An 18451-nucleotide genomic window follows, 5' to 3' on the forward strand; every position below is an offset into this window, starting at 1 on the left:
CCCGGCCAGCTGCCCCGTCCGGGAGGTGAGGGGCGCCTCTGCCCGGCCACCCCTACTAGGAAGTGAGGAGCCCCTCTGCCCAGCCACCACCTCATCTGCGAGGTGTACCCAACAGCTCATTGAGAACGGGCCGGGATGACAATGGCGGTTTTGTGGAATAGAAAGGGGGAAAAGGTGGGGAAAAGATTGAGAAATCGGATGGTTGCCGTGTCTGTGTAGAAAGAAGTAGACATGGGAGACTTTTCATTTTGTTCTGTACTAAGATAAATTCTTCTGCCTTGGGATCCTGTTGATCGGTGACCTTACCCCCAACCCTGTGCTCTCTGAAACATGTGCTGTGTCCACTCAGGGTTAAATGGATTAAGGGCGGTGCAAGATGTGCTTTGTTAAACAGATGCTTGAAGGCAGCATGCTCATTAAGAATCATCACCACTCCCTAATCTCAAGTACCCAGGGACACAAACACTGCGGAAGGCCGCAGGGTCCTCTGCCTAGGAAAACCAGAGACCTTTGTTCACTTGTTTATCTGCTGACCTTCCCTCCACTATTGTCCTATGACCCTGCCAAATCCCCCTCTGCGAGAAACACCCAAGAATGATCAATAAAAAAAATAAAAATTTAAAAAAAAAAAAAAAAGAATCACTACTGCCAAATTTAATTTAAAAGACAATTCATGTTGCAGACCTGTGGGTTTTTAAAAGATTCATCTAGGGAAATAATTAACACCTAGCACTCAATTCTTCCTTGGCTGTGTTAGTTACATAGTAAAATTTTACTTGTGCCATAGTATATTACTTTGTTTAAATAATTAACATAAATCTGTATTCAAGAGTACTTGTCAGAGTTTTTCCCATGAATCTGCTTGAAGAAAAAGCAACTTGTGGTGGGGGACTGCAGTGATCCAGGTGCTTTTGGACAAGAATCAAAACAATACTGTGGATAACAAGGGCAGAATGGCCATGGTTAAAAATTTGATGAGAGTTCATTATAACCAGCATGTGACAAGGAAATTTGATTCTTTCTGTGGTATACAATACTTTAACATAATAACCCAAATTATGACTGATGACATGTTAGATTTCTAGCAATCTCATATTAATTTTTGGAGCACTCATATCAATAACATACCCATAAATATAACTTGAAGGTTTAACATCACTTACTCATTGACAATCAATGCTTCTCATGTAATTTAACATATCAAATACGCTTAATTAGTTTTATATCAGTCTTTTACAAGGCAATAGAAACATCTCTTGCAACTTTCCAGGGGTCCAACAGAAAAATCTCAAAATTAATTTGAGATTGAAACAACTTAATTTAAGATTTGATTTTGGGAAGTTTGTAAAAAATGTCAAAAGACTTAACAATTAAAAATGATCTTGGCTATCTATTTCATCAAAGTGACAGCAGAAAAATTTAAAGGCAAATACAGAAAGTTACATGGTTCTGAACAAACTTAGCTCTTTTAATATTGAGAAGTCTCACTTTTCTTAAGTAATCAAAGATCCAACAGAAAATAACATGAGGCATAAAAAATTATCTTGATAAAACACAAAGTCTATTTTCTAGGTCAATTACTTAAAAGGAAAAAACCTCAGACCAATTTATCTTCTCAGACCAATACCCCAATAAAACTTCATCATTTTGACAGAAAAGGCCAACTTCTACTTTTGTATCTATGTGCTATTACTACTAAAGCTAATTTTCAATAAAACCTTTTAAATAAATTCATCCAATCTAAGTCAGCTTTGATCATACAAGATAGTTTCCACAAACTTTTTGTAACTTTTAAAAAATATTCATCAACTTCTCTTTTCAAACAAAAATTCATCCTTCATACCTTTTTTTTTTTTTTTTTTTTTTTTTTATTGATCATTCTTGGGTGTTTCTCGCAGAAGGGGATTTGGCAGGGTCATAGGACAATAGTGGAGGGAAGGTCAGCAGATAAACAAGTGAACAAAGGTCTCTGGTTTTCCTAGGCAGAGGACCCTGCGGCCTTCCGCAGTGTTTGTGTCCCTGGGTACTTAAGATTAGGGAGTGGTGATGACTCTTAACGAGCATGCTGCCTTCAAGCATCTGTTTAACAAAGCACATCTTGCACCGCCCTTAATCCATTTAACCCTGAGTGGACACAGCACATGTTTCAGAGAGCACAGGGTTGGGGATAAGGTCACAGATCAACAGGATCCCAAGGCAGGAGAATTTTTCTTAGTACAGAACAAAATGAAAAGTCTCCCATGTCTACTTCTATCCACACAGACCCGGCAACCATCCGATTTCTCAATTTTTTCCCCACCCTTCCCGCCTTTCTATTCCACAAAACCACCATTGTCATCATGGCCCATCCCCAATGAGCCGCTGGGCACACCTCCCAGACGGGGTCGTGGCTGGGCAGAGGGGCTCCTCACTTCCCAGTAGGGGCGGCCGGGCAGAAGCGCCCCTCACCTCCCGGATGGGGCGGCTGGCCGGGCGGGGGGCTGACCCCCCCACCACCCTCCCGGACGGGGCGGCTGGCCAGGCAGAGGGGCTCCTCACTTCCCAGTAGGGGCGGCCGGGCAGAGGCGCCCCTCACCTCCTGGATAGGGCGGCTGGCCGGGCGGGGGGCTGACCCCTCCACCTCCCTCCTGGACGGGGCGGCTGGCCGACCCCCCCCCCCGCCTCCCTCCCGGACGGGGCGGCTGGCCGGGCAGAGGGGCTCCTCACTTCCCAGTAGGGGCGGCCGGGCAGAGGCGCCCCTCACCTCCCGGACGGGGCGGCTGGTCAGGCGGGGGGCTGATCCCCCCACCTCCCTCCCGGACGGGGCGGCTGGCCGGGCAGGGGGCTGACTCCCCCTCCCCCCTCCCGGACGGGGCGGCTGGCCGGGCGGGGGGCTGACCCCCCCACCTCCCTCCCAGATGGGGCGGCTGGCCAGGCCGGGCTGACCCCCCCACCTCCCTCCTGGACGGGGCGGCTGGCCGGGCAGAGGGGCTCCTCACTTCCCAGTAGGGGCGGCCGGGCAGAGGCGCCCCTCACCTCCCGGACGGGGCGGCTGGCCAGGCGGGGGGCTGATCCCCCCACCTCCCTCCCGGACGGGGCGGCTGGCCGGGCAGAGGGGTCCTCACTTCCCAGTAGGGGCGGCCGGGCAGAGGCGCCCCTCACCTCCCGGACGGGGCGGCCGGCCGGGCGGGGGGCTGACCCCCCCACCTCCCTCCCGGACGGGGCGGCTGGCCGGGCAGAGGGGCTCCTCACTTCCCAGTAGGGGCGGCCGGGCAGAGGCGCCCCTCACCTCCCGGACGGGGCGGCTGGCCGGGCAGGGGGCTGACCCCCACTCCCCCCTCCGGGACTGGGCGGCTGGCCGGGCAGAGGGGCTCCTCACTTCCCAGTAGGGGCGGCCGGGCAGAGGAGCCCCTCACCTCCCGGACGGGGCGGCTGGCCGGGCGGGGGGCTGACCCCCCCCCACCCCGCTCCCGGACGGGGTGGCTGCCGGGCGGAGACGCTCCTCACTTCCCAGACGGGGTGGCTGCTGGACGGAGGGGCTCCTCACTTCTCAGACAGGGCGGTTGCCAGGCAGAGGGTTTCCTCACTTCTCAGACGGGGCGGCCGGGCAGAGGCGCTCCTCACATCCCAGACAGGGCGGCGGGGCAGAGGTGCTCCCCACCTCTCAGACGATGGGCGGCCGGGCAGAGACGCTCCTCACTTCCTAGATGGGATGGCGGCGGGGAAGAGGCGCTCCTCGCTTCCTAGATGGGATGGCGGCCGGGCAGAGACGCTCCTCACTTTCCAGACTGGGCAGCCAGGCAGAGGGGCTCCTCATATCCCAGACGATGGGCGGCCAGGCAGAGACGCTCCTCACTTCCCAGACGGGGTGGCGGCCGGGCAGAGGCTGCAATCTCGGCTCTTTGCGGGGCCAAGGCAGGCGGCTGGGAGGTGGAGGTTGTAGCGAGCCGAGATCACGCCACTGCACTCCAGCCTTGGCACCATTGAGCACTGAGTGAACGAGACTCCGTCTGCAATCCCGGCACCTCGGGAGGCCGAGGCTGGCGGATCACTCGCGGTTAGGAGCTGGAGACCAGCCCGGCCAACACAGCAAAACCCCGTCTCCACCAAAAAAATACGAAAACCAGTCAGGCGTGGCGGCGCGCGCAGGCACTCGCAGGCTGAGGCAGGAGAATCAGGCAGGGAGGCTGCAGTGAGCCGAGATCGCAGCAGTACAGTCCAGCTTCGGCTCGGCATCAGAGGGAGACCGTGGAGAGGGGAGAAGGAGAGGGAGGGGGAGGGGGAGGGGGACGGGGAGGGGGAAGAGGGAGAGCCCTTCATACCTTTTTTTATCAGACACAACTTACTTTTGTTGCATACAGTATTGTTTCCCTTATAATTTTGAATAGGTTAATTATATACATTAATTATAATTTTAAATTCTTATTAAATTTAATTTCTAGTGAAAATTAGCAAACATTGTGAACTGTCTTATATTAGCATTCACCATTTTATACTTTTAGGAAACATGTTTCCTCAATTTTTCATATTTATTAACAAACTAAATATATTTCATTTCTCTAGGCCATATAAAAACAAGATGACAGCTGGGTGCGGTGACTCATGCCTGTAATCCCTGCACTTTGGGAGGCCAAGGCGGGTGGATCACTTGAGGTCACGAGTTCGAGACCAGCCTGGCCAACATGGTGAAACCCCATCTCTACCAAAAATACAAAAATTCGCCAGGTGTGGTGGCACGTACCTGTAATCCCAGCTACTCAGGAGGCTGAGGCAGGAGAATCGCTTGAACCCGGGAGGTGGAGGTTGCAGTGAGCTGAGATCGCGCCACTGTACTCCAGCCTGGGCGACAGAGCGAGACTCTGTCTCAAGAAAAAACAAACAATCAAACAAAAAAACAAGATGACAAAGTATATAAACTTAAATTCATGCTTAGTAATCATTGTTTCAATATTTTAACTTACTTGGAAATGACTCAAACATCTAATGGGCATTTATTACTTAATTTTATTTTAAGGTTACAAGTTATCAAAAAGATTTTTGAGGCCATTTTAAAGTAGATATTTTATAAACAATTATTAATAAAACCTCACTTAAACTTTTATACAACTTATATTCATTTAATTTACTTATTCTAAACAATTATGCTTGAACTGTTCATGAAAATTTTATGAGACATTAAACAAAGCTGGCCAATATCTTAAGTATTTTTTGTTGTTATTGGTAAATCAGGCAAGTACCAAAAATACTATAGAAGCCAAGAAACTAAAAATTTCAATGTGGTTCTTTCCTCTCTTTTTTTTTCTCCATGACTGACATGCGTCAGGCAATTTATTTTTAGTGTGCATTCTGCTCTTAGGTTGGATTTATACTTTTATGGTCTTAAGCATCTAACAGAGACAACACAAACATGTATAATCAGTAAACCCAGGCAAAAATGTATGTTTAGATTATTAAATAATCTAATTATTTAATAATCAGACAGAAGCAGATTTTACAGCTTTCATTCTAAAACATTTAGCCATGTGCCAGGTCTGATAATTTAAGACTCACTAACTAGATCTGGCGAATGGGACAAGTTGAGGCTACCTGCTCAGATGGTTAAAGCTTTTTCTGAAGTATTGTGGAGAAAGATTTTAAGACTTTTTATTTTACCAGTTTCTGGTAAAACCCGGTTTCTGATGATCATTATTTCTTTGAAGTTTGAATTTCCACAAGATAACCATCAAGTTCTAGAGAAGACAGGGTAGGAAATTTATATCTCAAAGTTCCTCTGATAATAGGCTTTCTCAAATAGAGTGAATAGAGAAAGTCTATTATCAGAGATCAATCTTATGGAAGCTGTGGACTAAATTTTAGGCTGGTGACTGAAGGGACATCTAGCAGGTAACCGTCTCCAAAGACCCATGTGAATGGACAAGACATCTATTTCTGCTAAAACTGAATTTTTGCATTTTTCACTAGTTTGGTCTTGAGATTTTTTTCTTGAGAGTGGCTATAAACTCTACCCCTGCCCTGACAGGCCTATCAAAAAAGCCACTCTTTATGAGAGCCCAGACCAGGAGGAGAGTGAGGTTTGGGTGTGTCGGTTAGGTGAGACCAGAGGAGGATTCAAAATGGATGTCAAGGCAACATAGACTTACAGGAATTTACTATAGGATTTTACAAGGAAGTACAGAGATGGGCCTTGGAGAAGGTTCAGAAGCCTGACTAAAGTTTGGCCATAGAAACCTGAATTCTTCTTACCTCTGATGTTTCCTTTTAGTAATTTTCCATCCACCGATCAACAAATGGAGGAGACAGGAGCTTGAAGGGGAACATATCAGGGATTAAAAGAACTGAATTGAAAGTTCAGAAGATTGAGGGTGGCAAAAGGAAGGAGGGACAGAAGTAAATAGAAGAAGTAGTCTTCAGAAGTCAGTATGGAGAGATCTTAATTTTCCCAATGAAGTTCCACATTATCCTTAGCAAAAATTATGCCAACAAGAAAGGAAGTGGGCAGAAAGACCGAGCATATGGTTTGCAGGGGTTCAAGAAGAGGGTATCAGTCAACTGAGATGTTCTCCTAGGGTAAGCAAGATCCAATAGAGAGAACAGAAATAACTTTAAAAGATTGTATCCTGAATATCAGTTTCCAATTAACCTGACTTCTGACCACAGAGCTCCAAAACAAACAAACAAACAAACAAACAAAAAACAAACAAAAAAACCTTTCAAGTCCCTTATCATTAGATTTTAGCTGGAGCAAATAACAACTATTCCTGGCTTTTTTTTTTTCCCCATTTAAACCAGAGGTATCTACCAAGTGACTTATTATAGAATCAAAACCAGTAAGTGTTTTATAACTTAACCAAGGATGAAAGAGACTTACTCAAGAGAGGCAGCCCTCCCAAGATGCAGAGCCACTCTCAAGGACGGTCAAAAGAAAGACCTTTGTTGCCACAGGACCAAACAACAAAGGTTGAGACAACAAAAGCCTCTTATGAACTGGGACCTCTTAGTAAGACGATTCATCTGAGAGCTGACGCACTCTGACAAACAGAAGAGGCTCCCAGCCTATTCGACTGGCTTCCTGATGCAAGCTGATACTTTGCCCCCCTGATGGCAGAGACCCGACAGAGTACTCTCACTGGTCACAAAGCCAAACACTCAGGACACAAAATGAGACAAACAGGAAGGAAATAGCTGTCCCTGGGAGGGAAAGGATCAATAACAAATGGTACCCCAAAACCAAATTTTACACAAGAGTCACAATCCAAACAAATGATTTTCTCCTGCTTACCTAATTTGGAATGGAAGGTATAGAGAAATTTTTACCTTCAGTTCTTAACTGAACACTAGAGGCAGAGCTTCGGGAGAGCTGACCTTGGTAAAAAAATTCTTACCTTTTCTTTGCCGGCTGTTTGTCAGTTGTCCCAGGATCTATTCTGCAGGTTCCAGAGCAAATTAGGTGTCTCAGCCACCCCTACTTTGGGTGCCAGAAACTATAGGGGGCAGAAAGGTGACATCTTTCCTCACCTGTTATAAGGATCATGGTCAACACTCCTATAACAGAAGACAGGTTAACAAGAGAAAACCATAACACGTTTATTTAATCAAAGTTTTACATGATATAGGGGTCTTCAGAAATAAAGACCCAATGACCCAGGGAAAACTAGTTTAATGCATAGGTTCACTGAAGAATGGCTAGCCATGTAGGAATATGATTAGACAAAAAGAGTGTGATCTAATGGTAATAACAGAGGTTGGGGCAGGGGAGGGAAATCCAGAAAGGCCTGTCTGTTCAGATTTTTCTTGGCCTGTGTAGCATTTTTTCCTCCTGGGGATGGGGCAGGACCCCTCTGAAATGAGGGTCTCCAAGGAAGAAGGGAGAAGGAAAAGGGAGTGGCCTTTCTAGGTTTTATGGCTTGCTTTGGGGGAAAGGGATTCTAGTTTCTATGACCCACCTTGGGGAAGAGGAATTCTGGTTTCTGTGAATCACCTCAGAGGAGAAAGACTGGTGGAAAACCGAAGGATGGGAGAGGTCAGAGAGCCCCGCCTTCTGAGACCTTCCAGTCTCCTTCAGTTTAAATTACTCAGCATGTCAAAGTGTTCAGAGCCCAACACCAGGTTATTGGGCCTTATGTTCCAAGTAGAGAACTGCATGGTGTAGACAAGAGGTGGTATTGAAGGACTGGGTGGCAGAGCAGGGACAAGGTCAATGGCATTTCGGAGTTACTCATCTGGTACCAGTGTGGAGCCTGGATTCCAGAAGGTAAGACTGACATCCAAGAGCCACTGCAGGAGCATTTCAGAGCAAGTGAAGGATACTGAGGGCCTGAAAAGGGATGGGAGGCAAGAGGATGGATTTAACAGAAAGTGATAATAGGGAAACTTGGCAGTTCTCAGGAGCTGGGTGGAGGAATAAGAGAGGAAATGAGTTGCTTAATGGATCATTAAACAGGCCCACATATACACAATACTGTATATAAAAACCTCAAATGTTTTCAAGATTCTTCAGTTTAGCTGAGGTTAAATTGTCCTTCATTCCTATCCATGTGACTGTAACAAGTTGCATTTTCTTTCATGACATTTGAACGTAAAACTTGAATGTCTCACATCACAAAAACCCTGTTTTATGGTCAGACACGTATGGAGAGAGTTGGTCCTGGAGATGGAAGATAAGTGGAAAATGATGCTTACTTATGTCAGAGAGACATGTGCCTAATCTATGAACATTTACACATACCAGTGAGTAGAAAATTCAATATCACATAACAAATGCTATCTTATTTCTGAGGACTAGCAGGTAAGTAAAGTCACTCTGTATATAGGCCACTAAATCCAAAAGGTAGGAGACATTATCCCTGTCCTGGAAGAACTCACATCCTGGGAGATGAGATAAACCACACAGCTGATATGGGAAATACCCTTAGGATCTTACAAAGCAAGACGCCATCAAGTTCTAGGCCACTGAACAAGGTAGAAATTGGGTAAATCTCTTAATTAAAAAGTGCTGTGATTGGTAGGCCGAGGCGGTTGGTTCACGAGGTCAAGAGTTCGAGACCAGCCTGGCCAACATGGTGAAACCCCGTCTCTACTAAAAAATACAAAAATTGGCTGGGCATGGTGGTACGTGCCTGTAATCCCAGCTACTTGGGAGGCTGAAGCAGAAGAGCTTGAACCTGGGAGGCAGGGAGGTTGCAGTGAACTGAGATTGCGCCACTGCACTCCAGCCTGGGCGACAGAGCAAGACTCTGTCTTGCGGAAAAAAAAAAGGTGCTGTGATTTATTGTGCCAAGCACAAAATCACTTTTTTTTTTTTTTTTTTTTTTGAGATAGGGTCTCACTCGTCATCTAGGCTGGAGTCCAGTGGCATACTCTCAGCTCACTCCAGCCTTGACCTCCCAGGCTCAGGTGATCCTCCTTCTTCAGCCTCCCAAGTAGTTGGGACCACAGGCACAAGCCACCAGGGATTACTAATTTTTAAATTTTTGGTAGAGACGGGGTCTCTCTATGTTGCCCAGGCTGGTATTATTTCATTTCGATGAATTTATATCTATCTATATATTTTTTGGTACTCATAGCAACTATAGTTGGTATTAGTCTCATTATAAATATCAGTCAATTGAGCCCAGAGATGTTAAGTAACTTGCCTGTAATACTGTAAATATATATTTGGTCTTCATCCCTGTTTCCTGACCTACAACTCCTGAAGTCTTAGGAATCTTCAAAGCGATAAGTGTCTTTTTTGTGTGTTAATGAGTTGAGTTGTAGCTGGAAGCCCTTAAGTAGCTTCACGATGGGAGCTGGTCACAGGAAAGACCAAGGTACAAATAGAGGGTTGGGACCTTTCAGCCCCATCCCCCAGCCTCCAGGGAGAGAACAGGGGCTGAAGGTTAAGCTAATCACCAATGGCCATGATTTAACCAATGTCAACTGGAGAATAATGGGGTTCCTAAGTTTGGAAGGGAGAACTTTATTTCTCATAAAGGGTTGCAGCCTGCAGGGTGGCCATTCTGAGTCTGGGAAGTGTGGCCTCCACTCAGAAGCCAGAAACAGACACTTCAAGGAAGAGGCTAAGCGAACAAGAATTTATACTGAGCAGAGTGGCTAAATATACATATTTATAAGCTGTCAGAAAGTCATGAATATTTATGAGGGGAGAAATGTTCGCATGTGTAATTGAGTTTCATGCTTCTCCCCTTTTAAAAAATGGATGTGTGGAGGTTATCTGAGGGTGGAGTTTTTGGCCCTCTTTTTTTTTTTTTAATGAGACGGAGTTTCACTCTTGTTGCCTAGGCCGGAGTGCAGTGGCGCGATCTCGGCTCACTGCAAACTCTGCCTCCCGGGTTCAAGCAATTCTCCTGACTCAGCCTCCCGGGTAGCTGAGATTACAGGCATGTGCCACCACGCCTGGCTAATTTTGTACTTTTAGTAGAGATGGGGTTTCTCCATGTTGGTCAGGCTGGTCTCGAACTCCCGACTTCAGGTGATCCGCCCTAATCCTGCCTATGTAATGAAGCTTCCATGAAACCCCAAAGGACTGGGTTCAGAGAGCTTCCAGTTAGCTGAACACGTGGAGATTCCTGGAGGGTGGCGTGCCCCAGAGGGTAGAGAGGCTCCTACCTCTTCCCACATACCTTGCCCTGCCTATCTCTCCATTGATATGCTTTGTGAACATCCTTTATTTTATTTTTATTTTTTTGAGATGGGGTCTCACTCTGTCACCCAGCCTGGAGTGCAGGGGCATGATCCCGGCTCACTGCAACTTCTGCTTCCTGGGTTCAAGCAATTTGCTGGCTCGGCCCCCCGAGTAGCCGAGATTACAGGTGCCCACCACCATGCTTGGCTAAATTTTGTATTTTTAGTAGAGATGAGGTTTCACCATCTTTGCCAGGCTGATCTTGAACTCCTGACCTCGTCCACCCGCCTGGGCCTCCCAAAGTGCTGGGATTACAGGCGTAAGCCACCATGCCTGGCCATGAACATCCTTTATAATAAACCAGTACATGTAAGTAAGTGTTATCCTGAGTTTTGTGAGCCACTCTAGCAAAGTAATTGAACCCAAGAGGGAGTTATGGGAACCCTGACTTACAGCCAGTTAGCCAGAAGCACAGGCTACAATGTGGGGCTTTTGATTGGCATCTGAATTGGAGATAGTCTTGTGGGACTGAGCCCTTAACCCATGGGATCTGACACTATCTTCAGGTATGTAGTGTTAGAATTGAATTGAATAAGAGGACACCCAGCTGGTGTCAGCTCCTGAATCTGGTGTCAGGATTGACTGACTGCTTGGTGTCCAGGAAAAGACCTCCCACACATCAGGTGTCAAAAGTGCTGTGTTGATTGTATTGAGTGATGAGAGAGGATAAGAAAAAGCACTTGTCACCAGGTGTGGTGGCTCACGTCTGTAATCCCAGCATTTTGGGAGGCAGAAGCAGGAGGATCACTTTAGCCCAGAAGTTCGAGACCATCCTGGGCAACAGAATAAGACCTCATTTCTATAAAAAATTAGCCACGTACAGTGGAACGCACCTGTGGTTCCATTTCGGGAGGCTGAAGCAGGAGGATTGCTTGAGCCCAGAAAGTCAAGGCTGCAATGAGCTGTGATCGCATCATTGCACTTCAGCCTGGGTGACAGAGTGAGACTCTGTCTCAAAAAAAAAAAAAAGCACATTTCCCCCTCCCCGCCATATTCTTCTCTCATTGCCCAAGAGGCCTATAGTGTATAACTTGGGAGGATGAAATTTGAACCTAGGCCTATCTGACACAAAAGCCCATGCTTTTCCACTACTGTCAACTACAAAATGATGGTAAGAACATCAACTGCCTAAGACTGTGGTTAGGATGAAATGAAGTGCTATGGAAGAGAGCCTGGATGCATGGAAGATATGCCATGGAGTTGTTTTCCTCCTCTGCTGCCATCCCTGCCCTTCCTCAGGACATGACTCTGCTTTTCAGGCACTTCCACTAAGGGAGGACACCACCCCTAATATTGTCTTATGCCCAATTTCTGCCTCCAAAGAAGGAAGAAGTAAAAACTAAAAGGCAGAAATGAAATCCACAGGCAGACAGCCTGGCGCCGTGCCCTGGGCCTGGTAGTTAAAGATTGACCCCTGACCTAACCTGTTGTGTTATCTATAGATTCCAGACATTGTATGGAAAAGCATTGTGAAAATCCCTGTCCTGTTCTGTTCCGTTCTGATTACTGGTGCATGCAGCCCCGTCACGTATCCCCTGCTTGCTCAATCGATCACGACCCTCTCAGGCAGACCCCCTTAGAGTTGTAAGCCCTTAGAAAGGACAGGAATTGCTCACTCGGGGAGCTCGGTTTTTGGAGACGTGAGTCCTCGGATGCTCCCAGCTGAATAAAGCCCTTTCGTTCCACAACTTGGTGTCTGAGGGGTTCTTGTCTGTGGCCGGTTCTGCTACATCACCATCTCCTGGTTACCCCTCTCCTCCAGGGTGGGATAGCTCATCTGTCTCCTTCCCCAGCTGAACACCAGCCCTTTGAAGGAGAGGGATGGGGCTTTGCCATTGTCACAACTTTAGAGTTAATGTGGTAGGAGTTATTAAGAAATTATTTTAGGCAGATAGAGATGAAAAGGGGTCCTTGGGAAGTTTTTGTTTTTAAAGTCAGAAACATTTCTTGTCTAGCTGGAAAGCCAGGCCAGCAACCTTTGATATGCAAATGGAGGCCATTAGAATCTGGGTCCACCCAAACATGGCCATTCCCGCCCTCTTCTCCTTGCTCTTGCCCGAACATGTGCCTGGCAACATGGCGGCCCCCATATATCCCCATGTGTGTAGAACATCAGGGTTCCCTGCATTTGCATGTTAAAAGGCTAGGGTGGAAGGGCCAGTTTCTTCTGGGCTACATGAATGACATGCCTGGTGAAACCAATCCCCTGAGCCCTATGCAAATCAGACACCACCTCCTCCAGCCTCTACATACACCTGGCTGGTTTCCACCCCACTTGGGGTCTCCTCTTTCGGCTTTGGAGCCCCCCCCCCCCTCTGTCTCTGTACGTGGGAGCTTCTTCCTTCCACCTTCTTCCTTTCTTTTCTTCCTTTCTTGCCTGTTAAACTCTCTGCTCCTTAAAACCACTCCACGGGTGTCTGGTTGTTTTATCTAATTCAACGTGAGACAAGAGCTCTGGTGTTCCCCCACTCATCGGAGTCATATCATTTAGGCCAAACCAAAGGCATAAGAGAAACTTAGGATTCCATGGGATGACATTTAAAATGCCTTCAGAGGCTGGATGCGGTGGCTCACGCCTGTAATCCCAGCACTTCGGGAGGCTGAGGCAAGCAGATCACGAGGTCAGGAGATTGAGACCATCCTGGCTAACACAATGAAACGCTGCCTCTACTAAAAATACAAAAAATTAGCCCTGCGCGGTGGCCAGCGCCTGTAGTCTCAGTTATTCCGGAGGCTGAGGCAGGAGAATGGCGTGAACCCGGTAGGCGGAGCTTGCAGTAAGCCAAGATCGTGCCACTGCACTCCAGCCTGGCCGACTGAGCGAGACTCCGTCTCAAAAAAAAAAAAAAAAAAAAAAAAAAAAAGCCTTCAAAGGCTGAGCTTGGTAGCTCAAGCCTGTAATCCTAGCACTTTGGAAAGCTAAGGCGAGAGCATTGCTTGAGGCCAACAGTTCAAGACCAACGTGGTGAGACCCTGTATCTACAAAAAAAATTGTTTAAATTAGCCAGGTGTAGTGGTGCGTGCCTGTGGTCCCAGCTACTCAGGAGGCTGAGGCAGGAGGATTACTTGAGCTTAGGAGGTCAATGCTGCAGTGAGGTGAGATTGTGCTATCGCACTCCAGTGTGGGCAACAGAGTGACTCTGTCTCAAAAATAAATAAATAAATAAACAAATAAAATAAAATAAAATAAAATAAAATGCCTTTAGAACTGTGGTCTAAGCCAGCCACACAAAATAGGAAAAGAATATAAAAATCATTCAGAGACAAACCAAAGTCTATTAAATGGAGACGGATCCAGAGTTTGGGGATTTCACCCATTTGTTCCAATCACGCAGCTTAAAAGGGACCCACCAGATCATCAGTGACAGGGATAAAATCAGCTCTTCAGGTTCAAAGTCTCAGATTCTTTTTTTCATTAATTCAACAAATATATATTGAACACCTACTATATACACACCTGAAGCCTATGTGAGGCTCTAGGGATACAATGGCAACAAGGAGGTTTCCTGCTCTCAAGATGCCCATTTGATTCCATTCCACTAAAGGAGAAAGACACAAGACAGATATATTTGAATACAAACAAACCTGCAGTAAGCACACAAGTGAAACAAATAGTTGCATGTTGTTCTAAAGGCTTCAAAGGAAGCCATCAACAGGCTGAGATTCTGAATAAGTTGGTGGAAGGAAGTGGGGCCTATGTCAGGTGGGATGGGCAGAAAAGGCCCCTGAAGCTGAGCGAGACCCAAAGGAAGAACAGGTGCTGGCTGTGTGGGGAGAAGCCTCTGGGTCTAGGGCCACCATCCCAGCGTGAGCTCAGCAGATTTGAGGAACAAACAATAAACATTCTAGTGGACATTGTAAGGAGCCCAGGAATGGGGGTAGAAATATTTTTACAGGGCCATTCAGGAAAGACTCAGTAGACAGCTAGATTTTTAAGGAGTCAGATTGGTAGACTAGATTGTGTGTGTGTGTGTGTGTGTGTGTGTGTGTGTGTGTGTGTGTGTGTGTGTGTCTGTGAATTAATGCTGGGAAAATCTCCAGGCCATTGGCATGGCCCTAACCTGGCTAGTGTGACTCCTTTCTCTGCAAACAGGCTCAGCAAGCTTTGGGCAGAGAATAGGTAGATTTAGTGGTTGACGACAGACTCCCTGAGAAAAACGGGAGAGGACAGATGTGTGTGTGTGACTCCTGACAATGATTAGACTGCTTTAGGGTCATTGCTGTCTTCGGAAAAGACTGAGTAGGCCAATGCCATGTAGGGCGTTGACTGGAGCAAGTTCAGTAGGCATTGCCTTTATAGGTATCAGCCATTCAGCAAACATTTGTCTAGACAGTATGGCACTGTGGCGTTAAATGCGGCCTCTGGAGTTGGTATCACCACTCACTGTGTGACCTTGAACTAGCTATTCACTGTTTCTGGGCTTTAGATTTCTCATGGGGTTGTTGTCAGGGTTAAAAAGTTCACAAGTCATAGCACAGTCTATAAGAATTTAACAGGTACTCAACAAATATTCATTCTCCTACCCTCTCTCCTGCCCCTCCCTTCGAATTAGAGGAGTGAAAAAAGGAACCAGGGTGAAAAGAAATTGAGGAAGTAGAATGTGCCGACTTGCCACACCTGCTGTGCACAGTAAGGAAGAGGGAAGAAGACGGTTCCCGCACTTCTGGCCTGACACACCAGCCAACAGTTGTATCAATCAGGACTCTTTCTAATGCAAGTCACAGAGTATTAAGCAATAAGGAAGTTTCTTGGCTTATGTAGCTGAAAAATCCTAAGTGCAGCCAATTTTGATATGCTTGGTCACAACGAAAGCTTTAACAACAACAACAACATAATTTATAGGTCATATTCTCAAATCAAAAACTGAAAAATTTCACATACATGATAAAAATGACCTAAAAAACTTTATGTATTTAGAAATTAAAGAGCAAACTCTTAGATAAGTCTTGGATCAAAAAGGAAGTAAAAGAGGACTCGCAAAGTATCTAGAAACCAATGAAAAGGAAATTACTTTCTATTGCACCAGACAGGACCCTGAGAATGGTACTCAGAGAATATTTGGAGTTCTCAAATGCCTTGCAACTGAAAAATAAAGCCAAAAAATAAAGGAACTAACTATTCCTCTCAAAAATTTAGAAAGAGGCTGGGCGCAGTGGCTCATGCCTGTAATCCCAGCACTTTGGGAGTCCGAGTCGGACAGATCATAAGGTCAGGAGATCGAGACCATCCTGGCTAACACGGTGAAACCCCGTATCTACTAAAAAAAATACAAAAAAAAAAAAAATTAGCTGGGCATGGTGGCGGGTGCCTGTAGTCCCAGCTACTCAGGAGGCTAAGGCAGGAGAATGGCGTGAACCCAGTAGGTGGAGCTTGTAGTGAGCCAAGATCGTGCCACTGCACTCCAACCTGGGTGACAGAGTGAGACTCTGTCTCAAAAAAAAAAAAAAAAAAAATTTAGAAACAGAAATCAGGAAATTGACATTGACAAAAGTCAAATTTAGAATTAATGATTTAGAAAAAAGAAAGAATAAAGAACAGTAGGAGGGAAAATATGTGAAATCTACTGAAAATAACTCCAAATGTTTATTGGATAGACTAATAAAATAAACAGCTTACAAGTTTGAAGAGGGAAAAAAGAAAAAAAGAGATTAGGAAGCTGAAGTCGATTAAAAGATTCAAGAGAGTCACCACAGCCAATGCTATGACAGTGAATATGAAAAGCTATAGGAAACGTATGATTTTTTTTTGCAAAATACAGACTATTTAAATTCATCCAAGAAGAGAGGAAAAATGTGAATGGACAAATTATTACATGAATGGACCAATTATTACAGAAGTAATGGTAAAGTGCTTGGACGTTTACTATTGAAAAGACCTTAGGGCCAGATGGCCTTAGAGTTGAGTTTGTTTTTCCTTTTTTAACTGATATATAATAGTTGTACATTTTTTGGTTTTAAAATTGATATATAATAGTTGTACATATGTAGCTGAGTTTCAGCTAAGCTCTAAAGTTCTGATAATTTACCTCTAAAGGTCTGATAATTCCAATGTTAAGTGATTTTTTTTTAAGAGACAGGGTCTGGCTATGTTGCCTAGGCTGGAGTGCGGTGGCTATTCACAGGCATGATCACTGCACGCTACAGTCTCAAACTCTGACCTCAACTGTTCTTCCTGTCTCAGCCTTCCAAGTAGCTGGGACTAAAGGCATGAGCCACTGCACCCGGCCCAATGTTAAATTATTTAAACCCTTGCTACTCAAAGTGTGTCCGAGGACTGTAGTATTAATACCACCTAGATGCTGATTAGGAATGCAGGTTTAGCTACTCCAAGCCATATAAAAATCTTTTAAATTCACATTTTGAAGCCAATACAATTTTAATATCAAAACATAAGAAAGAAAAAAGGATAGAGTAATATTTGTTAATTACAATTATAATTATAGACTAATTTCACTTATGATTTAGAAATACAAATTATAAATAAAATATTAGCTTATATAGGTCTTCATTATATCAAGAGTAAAATACAATGAACAGCAAGGTTTATTCCACAACTGCAAGAGTGGTTCAATATCCAAATCCCAGTAACCTAATCCATTACACTGATAAACTACAGAAGAAAAACATCAGCAGCTGTTCAAATGATAATTGATAAAATTCAGCAGCCATTCCTAATAAAAATTCTAAGTAGGCATGAAAAAATTTAAACTGACAAAAACTACCAGAAACCAATAGCAAATATTATCTTATATAGAGACACTACTGAAAGCATTTTAGTCAAGAAACAGATAGATACCTGCACCATCATTATTATTTAATATTATTTTAGATATTTTAGCAAATGCAAGAAGAAAAAAAGTTAACTAGTAAGTATAAATATCAGAAAAGAAAAAATAAAAACATGTCTTTTGATATGGTTGCATATTTAGAAAACTCAAGATAATTAAGAAGGCAAAACAGGCTGGGCGTGATGGCTCATGCCTGTAATCCCAGAACTTTGGGAGGCCAAGGCAGGAGGATCTCTTGAGGCCAGAAGTTTGAGACAAACCTGGTCAATATAGTGAAACTCGTCTCTACCAAAAATATAAAAAATTAGCTGAGCGTGATGGCACACACCTGTAGTCCCAGCTACTCAGGAGGCTGAAGCATGAGAATCACTTGAACCCGGGAGGCAGAGGTTGCAGTGAGCCGAGATTGCGCCACTGTACTCCAGCCTAGGTGACAAAAAAAAAAAAAAGAAAAAGAAAAAAGCTATTGTTTTTTGTGTATCTATGTAGCATCCTATATCTTATCACACTCTCTTAATATGTCTTGTAATTGTTTTGCCTTCTTTTTTATTTTTTTGAGACAGAGTCTCGCTCTGTCCCCAGGCTGGAGTACAGTGGCATGGGTACCAGTGGCTACTCGAGTAGCTGGGATTACACGTGCGTGCCACCATGCCCAGCTAATTTTTGTATTTTTAGTAGAGACAGGGTTTCACCATGTTGGCCAGGCTGGTCTCTAACTCCTGATTGCAAGTGACCCTCCCGCCTTGGCCCCCCAAAGTGCTAGGATTATAGGTGTGAGCCACTGCTCCCAGCCCACAATAGCTTTTTTTCTACCTTAATAGGAACCAACTAAAAATAAGAATGGGAACATATTTATGCATATATAATGTTGACATAAACTATACATTCTTTAGGAATAGTTCTAACAAGTAAGTAACAGAAAATATAGGGGAAAAACTCTTAGTTAAGAAAACTATGAGAAAGAAAAACAATAAGGGAGATTTGCCCTACCAGATAATCGGAA

At 45.0% G+C, this 18451-nt stretch overlaps 1 long non-coding RNA gene across 1 annotated transcript in view, besides 2 other annotated features; it reads right to left on the minus strand.

The window, feature by feature from the left end:
• The window catches only part of LOC124900167 (uncharacterized), a 61114-nt gene extending 43296 nt beyond the window's left edge, over positions 1-17818 (minus strand). The window contains exons 1-4 of the long non-coding RNA XR_007058167.1: positions 17777-17818; positions 14118-14199; positions 7362-8623; positions 6223-6282 (exon numbers count right to left, since the gene is read on the minus strand). This is a non-coding gene — a long non-coding RNA (uncharacterized LOC124900167). The remainder of the gene's footprint in view (positions 1-6222; positions 6283-7361; positions 8624-14117; positions 14200-17776) is intronic.
• Positions 11951-12181: a silencer, noted in NCBI's record as "fragment chr4:84115858-84116088 (GRCh37/hg19 assembly coordinates)". NCBI's record gives its function as "represses an EF-1alpha promoter that drives an FKBP-Casp9 reporter gene in an ReSE screen in phorbol 12-myristate 13-acetate-treated (for megakaryocytic differentiation) K562 erythroleukemia cells {active_cell/tissue: K562(+PMA)}" and the evidence as "EXISTENCE:reporter gene assay evidence [ECO:0000049][PMID:32094911]".
• Positions 14966-15085: an enhancer, noted in NCBI's record as "active region_21681". NCBI's record gives its function as "activates an Ori minimal core promoter by ATAC-STARR-seq in GM12878 lymphoblastoid cells {active_cell/tissue: GM12878}" and the evidence as "EXISTENCE:reporter gene assay evidence [ECO:0000049][PMID:35858748]".
• Positions 17819-18451: the final 633 nt, after the last annotated feature.

Source organism: Homo sapiens, chromosome 4 (genome assembly GCF_000001405.40).
Source record: "Homo sapiens chromosome 4, GRCh38.p14 Primary Assembly".
In the NCBI taxonomy this organism is placed as follows: Eukaryota; Metazoa; Chordata; class Mammalia; order Primates; family Hominidae; genus Homo; species Homo sapiens.